The sequence below is a fragment of the Homo sapiens genome, chromosome 10, assembly GCF_000001405.40.
Source record: "Homo sapiens chromosome 10, GRCh38.p14 Primary Assembly".
NCBI lineage: Eukaryota > Metazoa > Chordata > Mammalia > Primates > Hominidae > Homo > Homo sapiens.
Genome location: NC_000010.11, coordinates 123,606,816 through 123,632,216, shown reverse-complemented (window position 1 = coordinate 123,632,216; position 25,401 = coordinate 123,606,816). Strand labels below are relative to the sequence as shown.

The 25,401-nt window shown below is 42.8% G+C and overlaps 1 annotated feature.

Moving 5' to 3' along the window:
- Positions 24,347–24,937: an enhancer, noted in NCBI's record as "OCT4-NANOG hESC enhancer chr10:125366796-125367386 (GRCh37/hg19 assembly coordinates)". NCBI's record gives its function as "activates a minimal SCP1, AML or CMV promoter by ChIP-STARR-seq in naive H9 embryonic stem cells {active_cell/tissue: H9 hESC(naive)}" and the evidence as "EXISTENCE:reporter gene assay evidence [ECO:0000049][PMID:30033119]".

Below are 25,401 nucleotides of genomic sequence, written 5' to 3'. Positions count from 1 at the left end.
AGTGGGAACTAAATGATGAGAACACATGGACACGTAGAGGGAACAACACACACTGGGGACTACTGGAGGGTGGGGGGTGGGAGGAGGGAGAGGATCGGGAAAAATAACTAATGGATACTAGGCTTAACACCTGGGTGATGAAATAACCTGTACAACAAACCTCCATGACACACACTTACCTATGTAACAAACCTGCATATCCTGCACATGTACCCCTGAACTTAAAAGTTTTTTAAAAAGGGACATTGAGGCATTTTTCATGTTTCCATATATCAAGCACCCTTTTCCTTGCCCCTGCACAAAGGTGGATAGTGTCTTTGCAGTGACTCCAGGCATGGGAATAAAGGGTGAAGGGTTTGCTTTTCATCAGCTTTATTAAATAATACCAATTCTTTTCCAAAGTTATTGCAACTTGTACCTCCTTCAGCCAAGCCCACATATTTAAAATAAGTAAAACTTTTGCCAAACTGAGGGATGCTGTCTTATTCTTTCCATTTTTGTTTTATTATATGTGTTGAGGCTTTATGACTGGGTGCATATAAGTTCAGAATTGTTATTTCTTCTCAGGGAAGTTTTTATCTTACCATTATGCACTGATCTTCTTTATCCCTATTTTTTTTGTCTTAAAGTTAATTTTGTTTAAAACTAATATAGCTACCCAGCTCTCTTTTTATGAATATTTTCCTGATAGATCTTTTTTCCCCTTTCTTATTACTTTCACCTTTTTTGTAACCTTATGTTTTATTTCCCACTGAAAATTCCTAATAGTTTTTTTTAAAAAAGAAAAGCTTTTAGAAATCTCATTTCACTCAGTCACAACACTCAACTGATATGGAGGAAAAATCTTATATATTCTTTTTCCATTTACCTTATATAAGCAGCTTGGCTACACAATTCTTTCCTAAAGTAATTTTTCAATAACCACAAGAAACAGCTTTATAAAAAAGCCAATCTCTCAAAAATTGAGGTCATTCTTAAAAAGCACCCAGTAAAAGATAGAGAAAGATATGGGACAAATTAAAACTTAATTATATGGACACAAAACCCACACCATTATAGACATTTAAGTAGAAAAATTATAAACTGTAAATAAGTGCCTATAATCTAAGTGTCTTTTTAATTTTGATAACTAATTTTTTTAGAGATAAAAAACTAAATCAACCATTTCTACACATATAAATTTCATGTTTATATTTATTTAAAGATATAAATTTTATTTATGTTATATATTGTAATATAAATATTTGGAATTATGAAAACAATTGGAGAACAGATTTAAATTACTCAATATTTTCAACATTTAAGTAATTCAACTTTATAGCAACTATTTTTTTAGAACAATGTCATGTGTGTTTAACTCTTACAATTCAGATCAGTGTATTGATTCTTTTTTTTAAGGCAAAACACTCAAAAAAGGGCAAGTGTTACAGTTACACCAACTATGAAATGCAGTTCAAAGTTAGCCAGTGTGCACAATTTTTTTAAATATATGAATGTAAGATGCTGGAGAATAAGAGCAACATGTAGGGGATGCAACTACACCACTGAAAACTTCATGTGTTTTCTTTTGAGTAAATGAATATTGAAAACTAAATATTCTAACTTAAAAAGTAACTTCTAGAAATGTAAAGTTTAAAATGTAAAAGTAAAAGACATTTTTGCTTTCTTAATACAAATCTTTTCTATATATTGGTAAAGCAGCAGTATCAGCATCTCTTTAAATACAAAAACAAAAACAAAACTGCAGCTTATATATGGAAAGATAAGCATTACTCTTTACATGCATTTTCCCTTTTTACTTACATTTTTCATATTGTAATTTAAAATATACAACTCCAAGAGCTCTTCATACAGATGGAAAAAATATGAGGTTAATGTCACCAACTTACATGGAAGCACCTGAATCTTGTTACTTAGCTATTCCCCCACACCTGGGAGAATTCTTAAATGAATTCGCCACAAATGACAATTACTGCAATGAAACATACCTGAACCATTTAACGCAGATCAGCCATCACAGTTCTCTGAAAATGACAATGATATTCTTTACTGTTATTACAAAATAAACATGACTACTTTTTCTGTAGAAATATTTTGTCAGCTTCAGTGTAGATTACATGAGGCCCTAGGCTACAATAAAAGCAGCTGCAGGCCGGGCATGGTGGCTTATGCCTGTAATCCCAGCACTTTGGGAGACCAAGGTGGGCAGATCACCTGAGGTCAGGAATTCCAGACCAGCCTGGCCAACATGTCAAAACCTCATCTCTACTAAAAATACAAAAATTAGCTGGGCATGGTGGCATGCTCCTGTAATCCCAGCTACTCAGGAGGCTGAGGCAGGAGAATCACTTGAACCCAGGAGGTGGAGGTTGCAGTGAGCCGAGATTGCACCATTGCACTCCAGCCTGGGCAAGAAGAGTGAAACTCTGTGTCAGGAAAAAAAAAAAAAAAAAAAAGCAGCGCAATTCATTCAGAATTGCCATGGTGTAGCTCATGTGGAAATAATGGACAATCGGTCTCCTTTTCTTTTGCCTCTAATTTCTTCCTGCAATACCATGTCTCCATGTGAGATCATTTTGTTATAGCCCGAAGAACTTCCATTAGTATTTCTTGAATTCTCTAAACTTTTGCTTTGTCTGAAAACAGTTCTATTTCCCCTTTATGTTTGAGGGATTTTTCACTGGGTATAAAATTCCAGATGACTAGATCCCTCCCCACCTTTCAATGTTTTAAAGGTATTATTCCATTGCCTTTGACTTCCATGTTTACTGCTGGGGAGTCAGTCATCACAGTTATTTTTTCCTTCTTTGAAGGTAATGGGAAGTTTTTTCCCCTAGTTCCTTTTAACATTTTCTCTTTGTTTTCATTTTCAGTAGTTTTACCATGATGTGCTTAGGGGTGTGTGTGTGTGTGTGTGTGTGTGTGTGTGTGTGTGTGTGTTTAATGTATTTAATTCCGTTTGGGGATTGTCAAGCTTCTTGGACTTTTAGATTAATGTCTTCCATCAACTTGAGCCTAGTTCCAGCCATCATCTCTTTAGATCTCGCTCGTATCCCATTTCCTCTTCACTTTCCAGTACTGTAATGACATGCATGTTAGACCTTTTGACTGTGCCTGGTATGTCTCTCATGCTCTTTATTTTTTATGGTTATATTATTATGTTTAGTATTATTTTATTTCCTGTTGGAAATATGCCAATATTGGGAAATGAAAACACTTCTAAATAACCTGTGGATTGAAGAATAAATGACAAGAAAATTTAGAAAATAATTTGAACATAATAAATACTAAAAACATCAAAAATAGTGGGATTTAATTAAAACAGTATTTATAGGGCAATTTATAGTATTACATACATGTAATAGGAAAGAAGAAAGATCTCAAATCCATAATCCAAACTTCTACCTTAAGAAGCAAGGAAAAAAACAAAGTAAATCCGAAGTAAGTAGGACGAAGTGAACAATAAAGACAGAAATTAATAAAATAGAAAAACTAGTAATAGCAAAAGTCAATAAAATGCAAGGCTGTCTTTTTTATTAAGATTGATAAACCTCTAGTTAGACTGATCAGAAAGAAAAAAAGAGAAGACAAAATTTCCCAAAGCAAAAGTAAAGAATGATTACTGCTACAGATGCTGCAGCCACTAAACAGCAAATAATGAAATGTTTAAACAACTTTATTACAATATATTGATGACATAGGTAAAATAGACACGTTCTTTGAAAGACAGAAATTGCCAAAGCATATTCAAGAGGAAGCAGAAAATCTGAATAGGTCAATATCTATTAAAAAATTGAATTCAGAATTAAAAATATCTCCACCAGAGGAACTCCAGTTCTAAATGTCTTTGTTTGTGATGTTTTAAAACATCCCAGAAACTTAAATTTATCTATAAAAGTAAAGGACCTAGAATAGCCAAAACAATTCTGAAAAATAAAACAAAGTTAGGGAACTTACACTACCTGATTTCAAGTATTATAAAGCTACAAAAATCAAATAAGATACTATGATAGTGATGTGATACATACATTGATAAATATAACAGAGATTCTAGAAATAGACCTACATATACATGACCAATTGAAGTTTGACAAAGATTCCCAGATTAATCAATGGAGAAAGGCTAGTCTTTTCAATATATTGTGTTGAAAAAACTAGATATATATACAGAGAAAAGTGAACTTTGACTCTTACCTCATTCCATGTACAAAGATGAAACTTGGAATAGATCACCGAGCTAAATGTAAAAGCAAAAACTATAAATCTGCTACAAAAGAACATAAGATTAAAATACAGATAAGATATTCACCAGCTTAGAGTAGGCAAGTCTTAGAATATATGAAAAAGCACAAACCACTTTTAAAAAGATGATTTTGATTTCATCAAAATTAAAAACTCTTTTTATAAAACTATCTATAAGAAAACAAAAAAAGCAGGCCAGGTGTGGTGGCAGCTCATTCTCATAATCCCAGCACTTTGGGAGGCTGAAGCAGGTGGATCACCTGAGGTCAGGAGTTCGAGACCAGCCTGGCCAACATGATGAAACCTCGTCTCTACTAAAACTACAAAAATTAGCCAGGTGTGGTGGCAGGCACCTGTAATCCCAGCTACTCAGGAGACTGAGGAAGGAGAATCACTTGAACCCGGGAGGCAGATGTTGCAGTGAGCCGAGATTGTACAAATGCACTCCAGCTTCGGCAATAAGAGTGAGATTCTGTCGAAGGAAGGAAGGAAGGAAGGGGAGAAAAAGAAAGAAAGAAAGAAAGAAAGAAAGAAAGAAAGAAAGAAAGAAAGAAAGAAAGAAAGAAAGAAAGAAGAAAGAAGGAAAGAAAGAAAAGAAAGAAAGAAAGAAAAAAACACAAAAAAAGAAAATAAAAAAGCAACCACTGACTGAGAGAAAATGTTTATGATTATATATCTGACAAAATTCTTGCTTCCAGGACACCTACGAAATAATAATAAAACACACCCCAAATTTAACATGCAAAAGATTTGAAGAGACAACTCATAATAGAAGATATATGAATGGCTAATAAACAATGAAAAATGATCAGTAGCATTTGTGATCATGAAAACAAACTAAAACACACAGAAATACTATTATATACTTGTTAGAATGGCAAAAAGTTCAAAGACTGCCAATATCAAGTGCAGACAAAGATATGGAGCAACTGAAACTCTCGTACACTGCTGGTGGGAGTGTAAAATGATATATCCACTTTGGAATAAAATTTCACAGTTTCCTAAAAAAAAAAAAAAAAAGCTAAAAATACTCTTGTCATAGAACCCAGTTGTTTCACTCTTAGGTATTTTCTAAAGAAAATTAAAGCTTACATTCACAAAGAGACTTTCATAAAATATTCTTGGCAGCCTCATTCATGGTATTTCCAAAACCAGAAAATTAAAAATGTCGGTCAACAGGAGAACAGATAAGCAAATTGTGATACAGTCATGCAATGGAATATTACAAAGGAATAGAAAGGAATTAACTTCTGATACACAACAATGCAGATGAACCTCAAAAACATTATGCTGAATAAAAGAAGGCAAAGAGTACATACTATATGATGTCATTTATAGGAAAGTCTAGAAAAAAACTGTCTACAGTGACACACACCAGATCAGTGGTTAGCTAGGTCTGGGTTTGAAATGAGATTGATTGGGAAGAGTCACAGGAAGCTTTTTGAGAGGATGAAAATGTTCTGTGTAATAATGATCGTGGTTGTGGATACACGAGAATATACATGTGTCAAAAATAATTGAACTATACATGTCAAACGCTTGCATCTGTTGTATGTAAATAATACCTCAGTAAAGTAGGTTCTAAAATATGCAATATGAATCTTATGTTAGTATAAGACCAATTTTACCAGTGAGAAACTGAGGCACAGAAGTTGCAGAAATGCACAAGGTCATAGAGCTAAAATAAGTGGTGAAGCTGGGACTGAAAGTGATATTTATCTCTCTCTAAAGCCTATCGTTTTCATCTGTATTATATTACTGCCTGCTTATGTAATGGTCATATAAATGCAGTAATACAATAATAATAATCCCTTGTAGCTGTGGAGTACTTTTTAATTTTTTCAATTCCCTTGATGCTGAATACTCATTGGAGTCTTACAATTTTTGAGTCAGGTATAGGTCTTGCCATGTATAGGTCTTACACGGAATGTCTTGTAATACCCATTTAGAAGGTGAGAAAACTGCAAGGGCCACAGTGCTTGCCAAGAGCTAAGGTAGAGCTGGACATTTAGAGCCAGAGTTCTAGCTTCAGCTCTCCTGCTCTTCCGACCAGCCCGTACCTCGCCCCGTAGCTGTCCAGCTGACCATCCGCCAGCTACATTCAGTGCAGCCACCACGTCTATGGTACTTAGTTATGCCAGCCCTAGCCAACTAAGATAAACTCAGAGATTCAAGGTATTTTTGAGGGAGGACTGACCTCTTTCCAAGGCAGTCTTAGGCAAAGAAGAACCCTGGGCTGGTGAGAAGGTGGTCCTGTCTCCAGCTGTCCAGATGTTGGCCTGGCTGGGTGCAGCTGGGCAGGGATGGCCCACTGCTCCCTAAAACAGCAAAGCTGGTTGAACAAGGAGCCTTCCCCACTCTTCTTCTGGGGCTGAGTAACAACCACAGCCACTCATCTCCTCCATCTTTCCCTGCACGTAAAGCGCCAGTTTTGGAGTCTCTTCAGCCAGGCCCTCTGAGCTTTTGCCCGTTGCCTGGCACTTTCTGCTCCAACTGTGCAGAGCGTCTTGTCTTCCCTGGTGGGTCATTCACTTTTCTTTCTGAGCTTTCTCTGGAACACCCTTCCTCCTACTCCTCATCTCCTCAATGAACTCAGCCTTGTCCTTTAAAACCAGCACAAATGGTTCCCACTGATGCCTAACATCACAAAATGGGAGAGAAGCAACATTTTATGCTCTCTGATGGAAGAACACAGTGCTAGCAGTAAAATGGTCCTGCCAAGAAAACCCAAACAGAATCAAACTTGAACCTGATGAAGGCTCTAGCTCTAACCATCGATTTAACAGAAAAATAAGTTATTGAATCCATTGGGATTAAATTAGCAAGATCCAGATAATAGGAAATCCTATAGGACTAAGGACATGGATGGGTTCTTCAACAAAAAAATTGTAAGTGGGGAAAAGTATAGATGGAGTGGCCACCCGCCATTCCTAATACACAAACATTACTTGGATCCCAAGTCAAATTGTGGAAAAAAAAAAAATTTATAAGGCAACTAAGGAAATATAAACATTGGCTGGACATTTGATGCTAGATGGAATTCTTGTAAGTTCTTGTTTCTGTGTATGCCCCAAGATGTACAGTTTCCCTGAAGACCCCTGATGTGCAGCTCTAGCCAGCAGGCCTCCCCTCTCTGGAAGGGCTCAGGACTGTGAGCAGGTTGTGAGGGTCTCTGACACATGCATCAGTTATGACATGATAGTTATCTGGGAGATTTTAGGGATACATGTGGAAGTATTTACGGATGGAATGATATGCTGTCGCTAACCAGGACAAGATGCTAGAGACAAGCTGCAGGGTCTTTTCCAGTGGGTTTCCTTTCTATTTCAAGAGGCTGCCAGCTGGCAGTGCCCCACACACCATGTGAGGAGGAGCAGGGCAGCTGATCTGACTCCTCATTGCTGCAGCCCCTGAGGACCAGCAGTGGGGCAGGCAGACCATGCCCACTGCCATCTGCCATGGGCCAGATCTTAATTCCCAATGCTGTCCACCTCTGTCTTCTCTACTAGATTCTGACACAGACACAATTCAAACAACAAATTATTTTGGCTGCATTAGTAAGTAATGAAGGGCAGCTTCCAGACTGATGACTAAAACTGGAAAGTGGAAGTGTTGAGACCAGCCCTACTGAGATGCCTTGAACCCTCTTTAGAGATAATCTGGTGTGCCGGGCCTTCATAAGTCATCCCAATGCTGTGTTTCCCTCTGGAACTATGCTAACAGCTGGAGTGCTTGGCCGGCTCCTTGGCCAGCTTCTCCTCCTCCTCCCTCTCATTCCCCACTGATCTGGCCACTGTGTCTGTGGAAAGAAGCCACCATGTTGTTTGTTTCTTCTCTCTGGCCTGCCCAGGCTATTAGCCCAGTGGGTTTGTGTATGTGAATGTGAAGTTTTTGGACTTCAGGTTAACTTCCTTGTCTAGGGGGAGAGTTACTTTCCTGCTGCTCCCCAGTGGGCTTGCAATTCACTGTGTCCACTCAACTGGCTATGGCAGAAAGAAGGGCTTGGAGGTTTATGCAGAGGTGGAGCTGAGCTGTGATCTCTTTCCGGGACAGAAAAGGACTCATGTTCCCCCCACCCTTACCCTCTCATGGTCTGTCACAGCTACCATCAAACCAGGCATTTGGTCATTCAACAACTGGGGCACGTTAAAAAAAAAACAGGCATTTGGTTGTAATCTGTGGCTCTCACTGGCAGGACATGGATGGTCACTGTCACCTTCATTATAGCATAGCTATCTCCTGTGGTCCTCCTCACTGCCGACATTGCCATCTTCTCTATTTTCAGCAATTGTCCAAGGCAGGTTCCTTAATGTCACCACCATCATCATTGCCTTCTTCATCCTTTTCGTCATCTTCACCGCCATCACCTATGCCTTCTTCATCCTTGCCATCATCATCATTGGCCTCCTCACCCCCCTTACCTCTTTCTTTACAATACACTCCCCCTTGCTCCAGAGGTTTTGGTTAAATGACCAATGGTTCAAGCAGGTGAAATGCTGAAGGTGTGGAGGGCAGGCAAAAGTTGACCTCGTCATCCAGAGCCACAGATCTCTGAGACCCTACCTGCATGTGGCCTCAGTCCATTCAGGCTGCCATAGCAAAATACCTTAGACTGGGCAATTTTTAAACAATAGAATTTATTGCTTACAGTTTTGGAGCAATACATTCTTTGATCTTTGTAACGTCCAAGATCAAGCCTCCAGCGGCTTTGGTGTCTGGTGAGGGCCTGTTCTTCATAGACAGCACCTTCTTGCTGCTTCCTCGCATGGCAGAAGGAAGAAGCATAGGGGCGCCTCCTTCAAAATCTTTTATAAGGGCACCAATCCCATTTATGAGGGTCGGCATCACTTCCTAAGGGCTCCACGTGTTAACACTATGACACTGGGCATTAGTTTCCAACGTATGAATTGGGGGTCTGGTACACTAATGTTAAGACCCCAGCACATGCCACCTAATCCCCCACTCACATCCCAGCCCTGTGCTCAATATGGAGCTGCAACTATATGGAAAGAAAAAGGGGAAGGCTCACATGAGATGCAGCACTGGCACCAGGCTTTGAAAGGTGAATGAGGATTTTCTGAGTGGAGAAGAGAGGACCTGGAAAGGCATCTGAAGTTGAGGGATCAGCATGTGCAAAGTTTTGGGAGTGTGGAAAGTGTGTTTCATGGAACAGATGTAGAGCAGTGGCTGGAGAAAAATAGTCTCTAAATAGTGAATTTCAGTCATTTGTTCAATGAATATATGTTGACTAAGCACAGTGCTGGACAGTGGGGGAAAATGGCAAGAGGATTAGGAAGGCCGTTAAGGGTCAAATCATAGAGATGCATGTGTGGGGAGCCGGAAAATGTTTATTTGGTGCCGGGAGAAGAGTAATGCAGAAACAATTTAAGTAAGGATGTGACTTGATTTTGAAAATATGACAGCTGGGTCCACAGAGCTGTGTCCAGATGGGGCTGCTGGGGTAACTATTTTGGCAAGTTAATTTCACAATGTGAGTAATATGATTCTTGAACCATGCAGATTCTGCTCCTCCAATAAATCTGTGGTTTTGACAGTGTGTAGCTGCAGGCTGGGGCAAGGGCATCATGAACAGAAGGCAGATTTGAGAAAGAACAGTCTCTGAGCTTATTTGATTGTGTTTTGTAATCTTAAAGTTTTAAATATCTCATAATATTTTATTTTTTGAAAAGGTGATACACACACATGTTTAACGAGCCCAAACAGCATATAAAGGTATTCAGTGGAAAGAATCCCTCTCCCATCTCTCTTGCAAGGAATTCCACTGAAATTCCACTGAAAAGGCATGCCGTAATGCCTTTAAGTGCAATGCTCCCTATTCCACAGGCATTTGGGGTTTTTCTGGTTTTGTTTTTCTTGTACATCATAGCTGTAATGTTTTTATATGTGGGACATGGTTGTGGTGTTTTCTTAGCTTTTCCTGTCTATCAATCCTAGTGACTAAAGCAATTGTGTTTACAGCCCAGAAGAGACACAGAACCACCTGGGCAGTAAGTGGCTGAGCAAGAATGGATGGCAGGTGTGGTTGCTTCCAAGTTCATGCCCCTCAACCACCATCCACTTCCTCCTTTGATGTTTTCCTGCAGCCTCAACTCTGTCCCCACCCTCAGACCAGCGCTTATTCTCATCTCTATCAGCTGCAACCTCAACTGTGCTCTAGCCACCAGCACCATCTCTGACATGGGAGGGCACCCACTGCCTTCTCAGGAGGCTGGGTGAGTTTTCTAGAGCCAATCTGCTGGGACTGGCTCCAGATTCATAGGAAGAAGCCCAGGCAGAAGCCATGCCTCAGGCTCCTTGGCTTTTCTCCCAACTGCTCTGAATCTTGCACTGTGTACATTGTTAGCCAACATAAACCACCTTTCCCAGCAGTGCTGGCCTTCAGGGAAGAACTGGGTGGTGAGAATTCTGATCCTTTCCCCCTGCATGTTACCTCTAGGGCAAAAATAATATAAAAATGCCCCGGTGGGCCTCCTGTAACATTTTGCCAAGGCTCAGCGTGGAGTTCTTTTGGATTTGGTAATTTGACATTTGCATTTTCTTCTGCTGCCTCATCTTAAATTGATCAGCCGGATGAAACTCAAGATCGCCGGTCCTATTTCAATATTTAATCATTTGGCTAGTCTGGAATGTCATTAAGCTAAAAATAGGAAACTTATTTTCAAAGAGCACTTTGAAAAGAACCTGCTACTTTGCTAAGGCTGTCTGTCTCATGGTACAAAAATATACATTTTCTTTCTCTTTCTCTTTATTTTCTAACCTTTATAACTTACAGATTAGCTAGAAGCTTAAATGTGATTTCCTCACAACACCCAGCTGCCCGGTTCACTCGCATGCCTTAGAGATGTAGGGATGGGCTTTCTGACATCTGCCTCTGGCTGGTGAGGCTGAAACAGGCCAGATAAACAGAACTGCTAAGAGAAACAGCAACAATACACCAGCAGCAGAACGCATGGAGCACTGACGGCGTGTCTGATAGTGGAGAAGGGCTTCACACGCGTCATCTTACTCATTTTGGGTTAAGTATTTTCTGATAAGAGAACTGAGGTGTCAGGCAACTAACATGTCAAGATCTGTACGGTGTAGGGGTAGGAGAGTCCCAGGGCCCAGGTGGGGCAAGAGTGCATTAACCAGAGGACACAGCCGGTGCCCTCTTGCATCAGAGACAGCCTTGGTGGCTGGGGCACAGTTAAGATTGCAGCTGGTGGAGCAACAGTGAGCACTGAGCTGCAGGTGGAGGCAGAGCTGAGGACGCAGGAAAATATCAATGGAGGAAGTGGATGGCGGCTGGGAGTCATGAGCTTGGGAGCAGCCACATTTGCCATCCATTCCTGCTCAGCCACTTACTGCCCGGGTGGCTCCTGGCATGCATGGCCCCTGTCTCCTGAGTGTCAGATTCTGATCTTTAAAATGAAAGTGATCGTCTGGCCTACAGGTAGTCGTGAAGCTTCGATGATGAGCTAAGATGAGAAAAGCCCAAGCAAGGGCCCAGCACTGAATCTGACAAATAGTCCCCTCGTAAGAAACCTCAGGCATCTCTGTTGTCCTTGGAGTGCACAGCACCCCTCAGAGAAGTCACCCTGTTGCAGCTGAGGTCCAGTCCTCAGTCCCTCTCTGGTCCCCATCTCTAGCAAAAATGGCTGGGTCACTGGAGTTGCAAGGACCCCTTCTACTTGTCCTAAGCAACTTGAGTAGCGCCTCCTTTCCTCTGGGCCACCAGCCAGTCCCTTCCTGGCTTTCTGAGGAAGGGGTGGGCTTCTGCTTCTAATCCAAAGGAGGCCCTGGAGATAAAGGACAATCTAGAACTGGGGGACGGTTCTAAGAGATGAAATGCTTCCCGGTGAGCTTACACCGGGGAGGGTCCAAATACCTTTGTCTTCATGCTGTAGCCTCTGACCCCCAGAACCCTGGTCCGGCAGACCTCTTTGTCTTGGCCAATGGCTTTGGCCTTTCTCAATAGAGAATGGAGACAGGATGGGTTCCGAGAGAGGCAGGGAAAGATCCCTCTTTTTCTGACCTTAGCAGGCCTTCTGCAAGGGTCCACTATCACCAAAGTTGTATTCATCCTTTTTTTTCCAGAAGGGATAAGCCAGTTTTAATGTATCCAAACTGCCAAATATCTGAGAGCTCTCACGCCTCTCTGCACCCCTCATCTGTGTAATAAGAACATAATTTCCTCCTTCTTAGGATCAGTTGAAATGAGGGATGTGCTGGGATGCAAAAAGCCTGGCTGCCCCCGAAATGTGCGAACACCATGTAACAGCACGTGTTGCTTCTGCTGTTAGGAGAGGCCATAGCGACTACAGGTCAGAGGACGGGAGCAGCACAGGGAGTGTGGCTCCAATACTCACACTGACCTCAGGCCTTTCTGCTGTGGCTCCCCAGCCCCTTCTCCCCTCCTCCCTTTTCCCTCCTTCTCTTCTAAAAAGTAGAGTAGTGCTCCCACCTCAGCATTCTGAGAGCCATTTCAGAAGCCATTTGAGCACTCTAGCAATTTACATTACAATTTCTTAGAACTACCTGAGGAGGTAGCAGGGCTGGCCTGTGTTGCAGATGAAAAACTGAGACAGAAGCTGCTGTCATGAACCATTGTCAAGTTTTCTGGTCAACCAGGACCCTTTGAACAGTCTTCCTGTGTTTGGGCAACTTTCCGCCTCTGAGTCTTGCTTCCCACCAACTCCAGTTTCCTCTCTCCCTGTAGCTGGGTGGAGGCTTGGACCTGGGCTCCATCTATTGAGTATATTGGATGTGTTTGGACTGAGGAATGTGGCTTCTTGCAAGATGCATTGTGAGGATGGGGAAAGTGACAGAAGCTTAAGGGAATGACTGTGTGGACAAGTCAGTGCTTTGCAATTAGAACAGCAAGAAAATGCCAGCGCAGATGTGGTTTCTCATCAGGCCAGTTCTTCAGTGTCATTTTCAGCATTGCTCCTAGAAGCCAGTTCTCCTCTTCCTTCAAAAAGTATGTGAAATTCCAAATGTCCATTCAATAAACTCCTTTCAGCTTCATTCTCTTTTCTAAAATCCCTGCCTGAATGAACAGGCCACACACAAAATGGCAGGCCTAGGATTGACCCCATGTCTCCTCTTTCCAAGACCCATAAACTCTCCTCCTTCAGTGACTTTGTAACAGACCTTCCCCGGGTCACACGTTCATGGAATTTAATTTTATTCAATTCATTTTTTCAACAAACAATGGATACCCACCACGTTCCGGGCACTGGGGACACAGCCATGAACAAGTCAGCTGCAGCCCCTTGGGTGAACCTCACTATAAACAGGAAACAAATAAATAAACAAGTTGATCACATATAATCAATGTAGGAGGGATATAAACAGGGTGATGTCAATAAAACTCTGAGTGAGGGCTACTGAAGATAGGGTGGTAGGAGAAGAGATGGGCAAGGCAATGACTTGTGTGCATAGCTGAGTGTGACCTGCTGACCCCTAACCATTTTCATATGTTCTGCTTTGGGGTGCAAACTGTGGTGGCCCCTGCTGGCTCCTGGGTCCTTAAACAGCATCAGGGGAGCACAGTGCATTATTTAGCTGTGTGTGTCCTGGTCACTCTCCCAGCATCACTTCTTGGTCCAGAGATAGGCAGCCCCAGGGTGTCCTAGCCTTTCCAGGGGGACCCTGCCAAGGACACATCTTGCTTCTCTTCCATGCTGATATCTACAAGAAATGACTTGCCCAAGCTTTTTCTTCAGGAAGCTCACAGGGCCAGATAAGGCAGTGAAAAAAATCCAAAATGCCTATAGTTGCAGTCATTCAGGTCTGTCTGAAAATGCTTGGCCTCAGAAGCCAATCTCATCTAACTTTAATCTGCATGCTCAGAGCACCTGTCAGTGCGCAGCTCAGTCAACAGGAGAAATTATGGGGAAGATGACTTTGCTTCCAGCTGGAGTTCTGGCTAAATATTGAATGGGAAATTAACTTGCCACATTAAGATTTTAAATTCAATGAATTTGCTCTGTAATAATTGTAAGTGATGCCATAACCTAAATGTACCTCTCTAAAGCCCTCTCCCCATTGTGTGAGTCTTTGTGTGGCGGTGGGGAGGGGGTGGTATGTGTGTTTGGTAGAGGGCAGTGGGATATAGCCAGCCTAGTATCTATTCTTATTCTCTTACTAAATAATGGTGAATCATGTAACAAGTGGGCTTTTTTCCTTCTTATGTAAAAGGAGAAATAAACTTTAAGATCCCTTTCTTCTTCCAAACCCTAATCTATATGTGCACATATGTGTACATCTCTGAGATCCCATATTGAAATTTCCTTCTGGGGTGAATTATACCCTAAATGCAATTCCAAAGTTGACATTGGGGTCCTTGCTCACCCTGCCACTTCAGCACAGGACTAAGAAGGAGGATGATGAGATTCATTGTGGAGATCATCTAAAAAAAATTGCCACTGGGCCAGGCATGGTGGTTCACACCTATAATCTCAGCACTTTGGGAGGCTGAGGCAGGCAGATCACCTGATTTCAGCAGTTCAAGACCAGCCTGGCCAACATAGTAAAACCCCGTCTCTACTAAAAATACAAAAAAATTAGCTGGGCGTGGTGGCAGGTGTCTGTAATTCCAGCTACTTGGGAGGCTGAGGCAGGAGAAGTGCTTGAACCTGGGAGGCGGTGGTTGCAGTGAGCTGAGATGCACCATTGCACTCTGGCCTGGGAAACAAGAGTAAAACTCCGTCTCAAAAAAAAAAAAAAAAAAAAAATTGCCACCAACAATTCCTCCCCTCCAGGTGCGCGACTCCTCCCAGCAAAGGTTGTAGTCTTTCCTGCTTCTCACCTTGAGTTTCAGCTCTTGTAACTTGCTTTGACTAAAAGGATGTAGAAGGAGTGACAATATGCCAGTCAAGGTCCTACACTTTAAGAGGACTGGCAGCTTCTACTTTTGCCCTCTTAAAGCCAATTTTTGTATAAAAAAGTTCAGGTTAGACTGCTGAGTGATGAGAGTCCATGAATAGAGAGAGACCACATGAAAAAGAACCACAGCCTTCTGTCCGAGAGCCAGACAAGCCCTACACATGCAAGTGAGGTCACCTTGGATTCTCTGGTGGCAGGTGAGCTGCCCTATTGGTACCAAGTGCAGGAGAGAGGAACCTTCCCCACAAGTCTTGCACAAACATAGAATCACAAACAATAAAATGGTTGCTATTTTAAGCCACGAAAATTTGCGGTGGCTTGTTACACAGCAATAACTAATTGAAGGACTCCTTTTTTTTTTTGCTTTTATTTAAAATTTTTGTAGTTTTAAATTGTGATCAAATATACACAACATAAAATTTACCACTGTCTTAGTCTGTTCAGCCTTCTGTAACAAGACGTCATGAACTAGGTGGCTTAAAAACAACAGAAGTTGGCCGGGCATGGTGGCTCACACCTGTAATTCCAACACTTTGGGAGGCCAAGGCAGGTGGATCACCTGAGGTCAGGAGTTTGAGACTAGCCTGGACAACATGGTGAAACCCCATCTCTATTAAAAATACAAAAATTAGCCAGGTGTGGTGGCGCACCCCTGTAATCCCAGCTACTCAGGAGGCTGAGGCAGGAGAATTGCTTGAACCCAGGAGGCAGAGGTTGCAGTGAGTGGAGATCATACCATTGTGCAATGGTATTGTTCCCAGTCTGGGGAACAATAGCAAGACTTCATCTAGAAAAAAAAATTATTTCACACAGTTCTAGAGGCTGGGAAGTCAAAAATCAAGATGTCAGTGAATCTGGAGTCTGAGGAGGTCTTTCTTCCTGGTTCATGGATGGCACTCTGGGGCCTCTTTTATAAGGGCACTAATCCCACTCATGAGGGACCCCCCAGAGGCCCCACCTCCTAATACCATCACGTTGGTCATTAGGTTTCAACAGTCTAGTTTGGGGGAGACACAATCATTCAGACCATAGCACAATCTTAACTATTATTAAGTGTACATTTTCAGGTTCTGTGGCATTAAGTACATTCATGTTGTTATGCAACTGAAGAACTCTTATATATGCTCTAAATGTGTCTTCATGGAGCTACTGCAAAAAAAAATGCATGGGGCACAGATGCCTGCAAATGTTTTAACACATCATCAGGGATAAATGTGCATCAATTCTGCTTGATGTAAGGGTTTCTTCCCTAGTTCTGTATTCTGGGAGGAAAGTGGAAGAGGATGGGAAACTTCCTGGAAATGAGCAACCCAGGGCTGCACAGTGAGCCACCAACCTCTTTCCAGGTGAGCCTGGGAAATGCCAGAGATTTGCTTTTCTGCTGGACAAAGCTGGACAAAGCCTGGTTAGGTTTTGCTGTTTAAGCTTCATATCCCTTACAAATACTGGCAGATTTTGGCCTTACCTCACATAACATCAATCTTAGTTCTCAATATTGTTGTGACGGGTTGTTTCTTTTCCAGGCTTTGCGAGTATTTGAAGCAGAGATTTAGAAATATTGTTTAAAGATCTGTAGCCAGATGACATTTTTCCATTTGGGGAATTTAAAGATTCTTTTGTTACTCATCCCACTTTTTCTATCAATGTTAAACATTTTTCAGGAGCTCCTGACACTATGTGTGCTAAGATCTTGGCGAAGGGGCTCTCAGTTGGATCTCTGCCTGAGCCCAGGGGCGATCTAGGCCCTGGACAAAGTGGACACTAGTGAGAAAAAGCACAGAGACCTGAAAGAACATCTCCATCACCAGCCCGCAGAGACCCGAATCGCCCAGGCAGAGCCCACATCCACTGCCAGCCCTTCGCTGCAGACATCACCATGTTTCTAAGCCCATTCAAGACAGTTACCTGCAGTGGCTGGAGCTAGCCAGGATCCGGAGATAGCGGCGCTTTCCTATTCCTCAATATGAAGCAACAGGGGAGCTGTCCATGGTGCTGACCACAACCCCACATTACTGCACCGCGTCACCTGGATCCTGTCTGCTCACCGAGCTTGCTGCCTGCTTATTTAAGCAAGTCTTGGTCCTCATTTCTGTTCTAATATCTGCCTGGCCCACCCCTGCTCTGAACTGTGGGTTAGCGAATCAGGCGGCTAATACCACACTTATCAATGACACAGGGCCCCATGCTGAGGTAGAGCCAGGTCATCAGAGTCACCTCCATAGTTGTCAAATGCTGTTCTGCATCGGACAAATGGCTTAGATTTTTGAAGCTGTACTTTCTTTATCTGAAAAGTGGTAACAATAACATGGTTTTGAAGAGTAAAATTAGATAATAAATGTGAAAAAACTGGCACATGGCACATATAATGCTTAAAACAGTAGAAAACCAATCAATATGAACTTCCTTTCTATTTCCTGATCTTTTCCAAATTCTTAAGAATTAGTTTGGGTCACTGTTCAAGTATTTCCCAGAGAAAAAGTAAAGGCAAAGCCCCATCAAAAGCTTTTTTTTTTTTTCAGAGTCATGGTCTCACTTTGTTGCTCAGGCTGGAGTGCAGTGGGATGACTGTAGCTCATTGCAGCCTTGAAATTCTGGGCAGGGGGATCACTTGATGTGATCTGGACTCAGGCCACCATCGACCTGGTCAATCCTCAGTATGGGGCAGTGGCCTGCATTGCACCCCATGCCTCTACTCTGGAGGTCTCTCCTCCAAGACAGCCAGCCTGCTGGGGGCCATCAACCAAAGCCTCCACCCTGGTAAAGTACCAAGTGGAGAATGTTGCCTGCCTCACCTGACAGATTTTAGAGCAGGGAACAAGTCAGCTAACGTCTAACAAACAGCTGAATGGGTTTCATCTAATGATGCCAATAAACTAACAATTGCTGAAATTTTTAAATCTTCCACTTCAAGTAGACTTGGTAAAATTATTCAAGCAAAGCCTCAAATCTTCCTCAACCCCAGGAGCAGAGCCTCACTCAGACTAGAAAGATTCTTTCCCCATTTTCATGAAGGTGATTTAAGGCAATTACCACTTTGGGGTTTTACTTGGCTGTTAAAAATATATATAGTTCAACAGCAAATAAGCAAAACTTTGTCAAGCGATTTAAGTGTTTTTTACGTGCCAAGATTCATCTTATTCAATGAAGCAGAATTTGAGATCCCTCTGAGTGGGTCACATTTTTCAAACATTTAAAGATAGAGGACTTAATGAGGTTACCTTTCCCTCTCTTGTTGTCAAAGGCCCACAGGTAATCACATATAATATTTTGGGTTACTAATAAAACTCACAGTTGGAGGTAGGCTTGTGAAAAATAGGGCTGACCTCCTTCCCAAGCCCCAGGATGCTAGTGAAGCAGCCTTTCTGCAGATTTCCTGCTTCCTGCTGGAGGCCTGTTCTAGCCTCTGAAGCTGAGTCATCCGCCTGATGTCAGGTGCCAGACAAGGGATGTGTGGGAAGAAACACGAGCAGTGACCCATGATGTCTCGCAGGACCATTCTTGGCCAAAGTCAGAAGGCGTTGCCTGTGTGCTGTTCTCACTGTTCCTCAGGTGTGCTTTGAAGGCTGGGGGGACAATGCCAGGGCTTCCTGACGCTTCTATCAGGAGGAGATGTAGTCGAGAGGAATCTTGTCTGACAAGGGCCTGCTATGTCTGGTGGCTACGTGACACTGGCTGTGGACATCTACAGAGTCTGTTCCCTGGGTTGACTCCATTTTGCATCTGTCAGTCACACCCATTGCTGCCTTTTCTGACCTGGAACCTTTGCTATGTATTTGCCAAACCAACAGTGAAATGAAGATGGAAAAGTACATTGAGACCCATCTATTCATCTAGAATTTCTCAGTCTGAAGTTCCAATTCAGAAGGTGCAGGCTGAAGTCTTGGGCTCTGCATGATAAGAAAATTGCTCCCAGGTAATTCCTATGGAGGGTGTCTTCGCACTAAGTCAGCACACCTGAGAAAGGACCTTCAGGGCTGCAAATCAAGTTACTGCTTACCTCAGTAAAGTGAAACCAGGGTTCCCAGGAGTCTGTCAGCAGGTGTGCAGGACCAAGCTTTGAAAGCCCAAGTTTTCTTACTATGAGGTCTGGAGACAGGCAGCTCAGGGTGGGAGACTGAACAGTTAGAAGCAGAGCTGATGACTTTGCCAAATAAGCAGGGGCCATTGGTAGGCTCTCAAATGGGTGGATATTTTCCTGAGTCCAAGGATGGCAAGCTTATTTTCTCCAACATTTTATTTTGAAAAATTAAAACGCGTATGGAAAAGTTGAGAGAATAGTACAAAAACAGTACAAGAAACATCTGTAACACATATACACGTTGTTCTTCATCTCTATTTACAATTGGTAGTATGTTCTTCATTTCCTTTTTCTCTCTCTCTCCCTGGCCCCCACATATATGCCTTTCATTAAGTGTATCTTTCAGTATACATATATTTTACCATATATTCGTATACATATATGTGTACTTTAAAACATAAGTCATTTATGTCACTGTTTTTTAAACAGCTTTAAGATGTAATTCACATACTATAAAATTCATTCATTAAAAGTGTACAGTTCAGTAGTTTTAATACATTCAGAGCTGTGCACCCATCAATACATCTGACTTAAGAATATTTCATCACTCCCCAAAAAGATGCCATATACCCATTTGTTGCCAGTCATGCCCCACTCCATGGAAGGGGGGAAGCAGCAGGAACTGATGTGTCTGGCTCCTGCTTCCTAAGAATGAAGACTTGCCCCCTGCCTTCTGGGGAGTATTATTTAGCTCTCAGGAAGTCCCACAATGTGACCTTCCATCCAAATTTGAAGTGGAGGTCCTTCAGGTATGAATCAAGCTTGGCACGTTGAGAATGAGAGCCATGCAGACCTGAAGTTTCAAATGGGGCTTTGACAAGCTCAGAGCTCCACAAGGCTGCCAGCAAAGGTGCTCAGCACACAGATCCAGGGCCCACCACACCTAACAGGAGGCAGGGGTGGCAGGGGGTTGAGGTCTGTGTACCGTTTGTGTGGGATATGGGAACTCAGCCAGGACCACCCAGCTGGTGAACTGAAAAGCCAGGATCAGAGTTCAGGTTCTTCCCCTACAGGATCCTTGCTCCTCAACTCATCTCTCTGTCTTGCTCAGAGTCAGAGCTGCCGAGACAGCAGGGGCTGTCTGAGACAGTTGGGAGCTTCTGATCCCTGGATATATAAAAGCAGAGATGAGAAAACCACAACGGGAGAGGGTTCAGCCTGGCATGAGGCTTAGACAAGATGGTCTCTAAGGTCCCTGCAAGCCCAAGTTTCTATTTGATGGAGTACAAAAGACAGACCCAAGGTGCAACAAGGGTGACCAACCAGCCCAGGCTGCCCAAGACTGAGGGATTTCCTGGAGTTTGGGACTTTAAGTACTAGAACCTGGAATGTCCCAGCCAGAGCCTTTCCTGGGTCTAAAGCCCCACATCTAACCTATAGGGAGGTTCCTGTTTTAGCTCCATACAGAGACACCTTATGTGGAGGGAAGAGGAAGAGGAGGAGGAAGGGCTTGTAAGGTAACGTTCTTCAATGGTCCCTTTCCTCCTCACCCCTACCTTCCCCCAACCCTGAGACTCTCCAATGACAATCATGATGATGAGGGTGATGATGATGCCAGTAATGATGGTGATGATGATGGTGGTGTGAAGATGATGATGGTAGTGATGGCGATAGAGATAGTGACAGTGATGAAACATTGTCATGCCAATAATCATGGTGATGAAGTTGATTATGTGGAGATAATGATCATGGTAGTGATGGCGATGATGTTGATGGTGATAATTATTTGCTAAGCACTTAGTTTACAGCAGGCACCATGCTAACCTATTTTAATGCATTATCTCATTTGATCCTCACACCATTCTGAGGCAGATATTTTATTATCTCTATTTTATAGAGAAGGAAACAGAGGCCTTAAAAATTTTAAATAACATGCCCAAGGTAGTACAGCTAGCAGAGGGTGAATCAGGCAGTCTCACTCACCTACCTCTGTTGGGTTTTTGTTTGTTTGTTTGTTTGTTTGTTTAGCATATGTGGCTCCCAGGTGTGAAATGTCTGTTGAAATGCGATTGAATTTAAAATTCCAGCTTAAGTTCCAGCTTAGTTTTCTACTGATGCTGTTAAAACTTACCACAAATTTAGGGTCTCAAAGAGTACAGATATTATCTTAAAGTTCTGGAGGTCAGAAACCCAACGCAGTCTCACTGGGCTAACATCATGGTGCCACAGGGCTGCGTTCCTTCTGCAGGCTCGAGGAGAGAATCTGTGCCCTGGCCTTTCCCAGCTTCCAGGGGCCACCCATCCCTTGCTCATGGCCCCTTCCTTCATCTTCAAAGCCAGCAATGGCAAGCCAAGCTCTTCTCTAGTCGCCACCCCTCTAGGTTTTTCTTTCCTGCATTCCTCTTCCACTTACAAGGACCCTTGTGATAACACTGGACCAACTTGGCTAATCCAGGACATTCTTACCCTCTCAAAGTCTGCGATTAACACCTTAATTCCATCCACAACCTGGGTGCTCCTTTGCCTTGTAAACTAACATATGCACAGATTCCAGGGAATAAGACATGGATATCTCTGGGGGGCATTTTTCCACCTGCCACCACGGTAACTTCAGTAAAGACAAACTTGAGTTTGACTCTTGACCTGGGCATGCCGTTTACCCTCTTTAAACCAACTCACCTTGGTAATGACATCCATTTTGCAGAGATGTTACAGGGATTGGATAGAGTATTGGACAAGAAGCCCTTCTACCACTCTCTGGCACGTCATTGGTGCCCCAGCTGTGAGCTTCCTTTGCAACTCCTGACTTTCCCAGCTGACCACCTATCTCATCCCCCCCATTCTCCTCCATGCAGACCACATTTTATACCTTCCACCCTTGGCACTTGATCGTGTCTAATTTTCCCCTCCTAGCATTCCAGGTACTCCATGATGGAGTCTGTCTCTACGGTAGATTGCAAGCTCCTTGGGAACAAGTAACCTCCCTTAATTCACTATTCACACTCCAGCACCTCACTCAGCCCTTGGCTCAAAGAGGTTTAATAAAAACTGAGTGAATGATGAAGTGACAAAGCAATCTTCCAGCAGATCTCACCTGTTCTTTTCTGAATACCCTGAGATAGAGGGCAATACTCTTTAATTTTGTGTAATAATAAACCAGGGTTCAAAAGTCCACATACTTAAAATTTCACCTGCAGGACTCCTGGTTTCCACATGGGATGCAGAGAGCTGGGAAGACCATTGTTCCTAACCTCATAACAAAACAACAACAACAACAACAACAACAAATGCAGGCAGTCTGCAAACTCACACCTTTTCCTGACCCATCACAGCTGAAGTCACAGGGCTACCAACCAGAAGTCTAAGGAAAGACTGGCACGTCCAAGTACAGATTCGCCTGCATGTATGTAGCTGGGGCAGATGCTGTCGACACAACTAAGGAGAATTCAGCTACAATTTTAACAAATTGCTAAGGGCTTCATGTGGGCCAATGAGAGACTATTGAGGCCCTGGGGCCACAGACAGAAGGGGGAAGTTGCACCCACATGGGTGCACGGTCCTCTCCACAGGCCATGCTGGGTACTCACACGAAAGCCTGGGGGCAGTGAGAGACCCTCGAAAGCCCTCCAGTAGTGCCCAGTCGAAGAGAAGCAGTAGCAGCTGCTAGGGGCTGGGCAGAAAGTCCTGCCCCAAACTTTCTCCCCGTTTCCTATGGAACAAAAGCTTTAAGCCCTGGAAAAACAGTGTAGCCCTTTCTTACAGAGTTAAACACACACTTACCATACGCCTTGGCACTCCTACTCCTAGGTACTTACCCAAGTGATCTGAAAAATTATGTTCACACAAAAATCGATACGCTAATATTTATTTTTTTTTTTAGTAATCACCCAAATGTGAAAACAATCCACATGTTCTTTAACCAGTGAGTGGGTAAACAATGGATGTGGTCCCTCCACGCAAAGGAATCTACCCAGCAATGCAAACAATGAGCCACTGATAGCCACAGCGACATGGATGAATCACATGATTCCACCTCTGTGATATTCCAGAAAAGGCAAAACTCTGTGGACAGAAAACAGCTCAGCAGTTGCCAGGGGCAATGGGTGAGGGAAAGGGTTGGCTGTAAAGGGACACAAAGGAATTGGGGGGTTTGATGGAACTGTTCTATATCTTGATTGTGATGTTGATTACACAATTGGATACATTTATTACAATAGCAAAACGTGAACACTAAAAGGGAGACATTTTGCTGTATGCAGATTTTACCTTAAAATAAGTGGAAAAATACATAAATGCACAGAATGGAAGGAAAAGAAATTTCACCAGCCCTTATATATTGGACACAAATTTATCTGCCTGAAGGCCCATGGCGAGAAAAACCACAGTCATGCTGTTTGGGATCCTTCTCTTAGGGTCTGGATTGGGACCCCTTTCTTGTAACACTTCTATGTGGACATTTTGGTCCTGGGAAGACACCTGAGAAGGGGATGCTTGTTTGAGGCACAGCACATACCATGTACCAACTCTTATCTTGATTAGATCCTATTTATATTTGGTCCTTGTTATTTGCATTGGAACCTAACATGAACTAATTATAGGCATTTTCAGCCCACCCATCACTCAGACCACAAACCCCTAGACCCAATCATCTCAGCCTATTAGTTCTACGTAGGCTTCCAAAGATCTCTCTATTCTGTCCTCTTCTTTCCATCTCCATTTTCTTGATTTGGGACTCCTACCACTCACAGATTACAGAGGCTCTTTACAGATCTCTTTTCCTCTTATCACCACCCCAGGCCATATAATGGCTCACAGTTGGAGTGACGCACCCAACAAGGCAAACCCAGCATGTCACTGCCTATTCAGAATTCTTCAGCAGCTTCCCATTGCTGCAGGGAACATCCAAATCTATGACCCATCATGATGTTTATGATTCCCCTTAATCATAAAATAACTATACATTCAACATTTTATTTTAACTTAAAACCTATGTCGTTCATTCACCCATAATTTCATGGACTGCCAAGAGCTTTTCTTTGAGAATGAGTCCTTTGTTTGGAATTTCCAGTTTTCTTTCTTACATAAACCCCACCCCAACCATATTGTCTATAATTTCCAATTTTGTTTTCTTTAAAATAAGTGAGAACTTAAGCAAACGCAGGCATTTCTAGATGCGTACAATTCTCCCCAAGCTTTTAAAGTTATCTCGCCCACACCTAATTTAATTGCAATTATTTTTACTGACTTCCCTTTATAGAAAGAGCCTTTCTGAAGAACTAAACTTAGTTTTTATGAAAACAACCCTTTTTCTTTTGGCACTCTTATTTCATCAGTTTTTGTAAACTGTTTAATTACAATAACAAGCACAGCTGATCCTGGGAGGCATTCAGCTCCAGCCGGAGCAGAAGGGGCCAGGTCTGTTAGGCAGCAGCCCTGGCTCTCAGCATTCAGGAGCTGGGAGCTTCCCTGTGAAGGCAGCCACATGCTGTGAGAGCTGTTACTTGGGAATTCTCAAATGGAATGGTTGCTCTTTTAACTGACTCCTACTTGCCCCATCCCCCAGGTATACCTACAGTTCTCTCTCTCTTTTTAAAATATATCCTTGATACCACCCTAAACTCTGTGCAGCCTGTTGATGAACCCATCAACTACCATCCCAGCTCCAGGAACTAAGCTGCTTCTACTTCTTTGAGAGATTGAGTTTCATGACTACTTTTATATTTCTGACTCTCCCTGTGTAATTGAAATGTTCAGATTAAGATTTTACTGATCACATGTTTCAAAAATCTTGACAGAGGGTCAGGGGCACTCGGTGATCAGCAGCACCCCTGGGTTGAATTGTTTGTGGTGCACCAAAGGAACTGGATCACCACCCTCGCCTGACACCTTTCCCAGGGTGAAGGCTGCTTAGCCCCTGGAGTAGAGGTGAGCCCCTGCCTCTAGGATGGCTGCAGCTGTGTTTTTGTTTTTCTAGAAACTGCCTGGAAGGCAATACCATGCCTTGACAGGTGTTAAAATGCCTTCCTCTAATTCTCCCTTCTCACACCCCATACTCTCGCACACCACAGAACTTTGGCTTACATAGCATTTATTTCCAAAATTAAAATGCTCCCTGGATATGCAAGTAAAAGGAAGCAAGAAGAAGAAAGCAGAGGGGAGGGGAGAAAAGAGGAAGAGAGAGGAGAAGAAGAGGGGGATAAAAATGAAAGGAGTCCAGGCGCAGTGGCTCACACCTGTAATCCCAGCCCTTT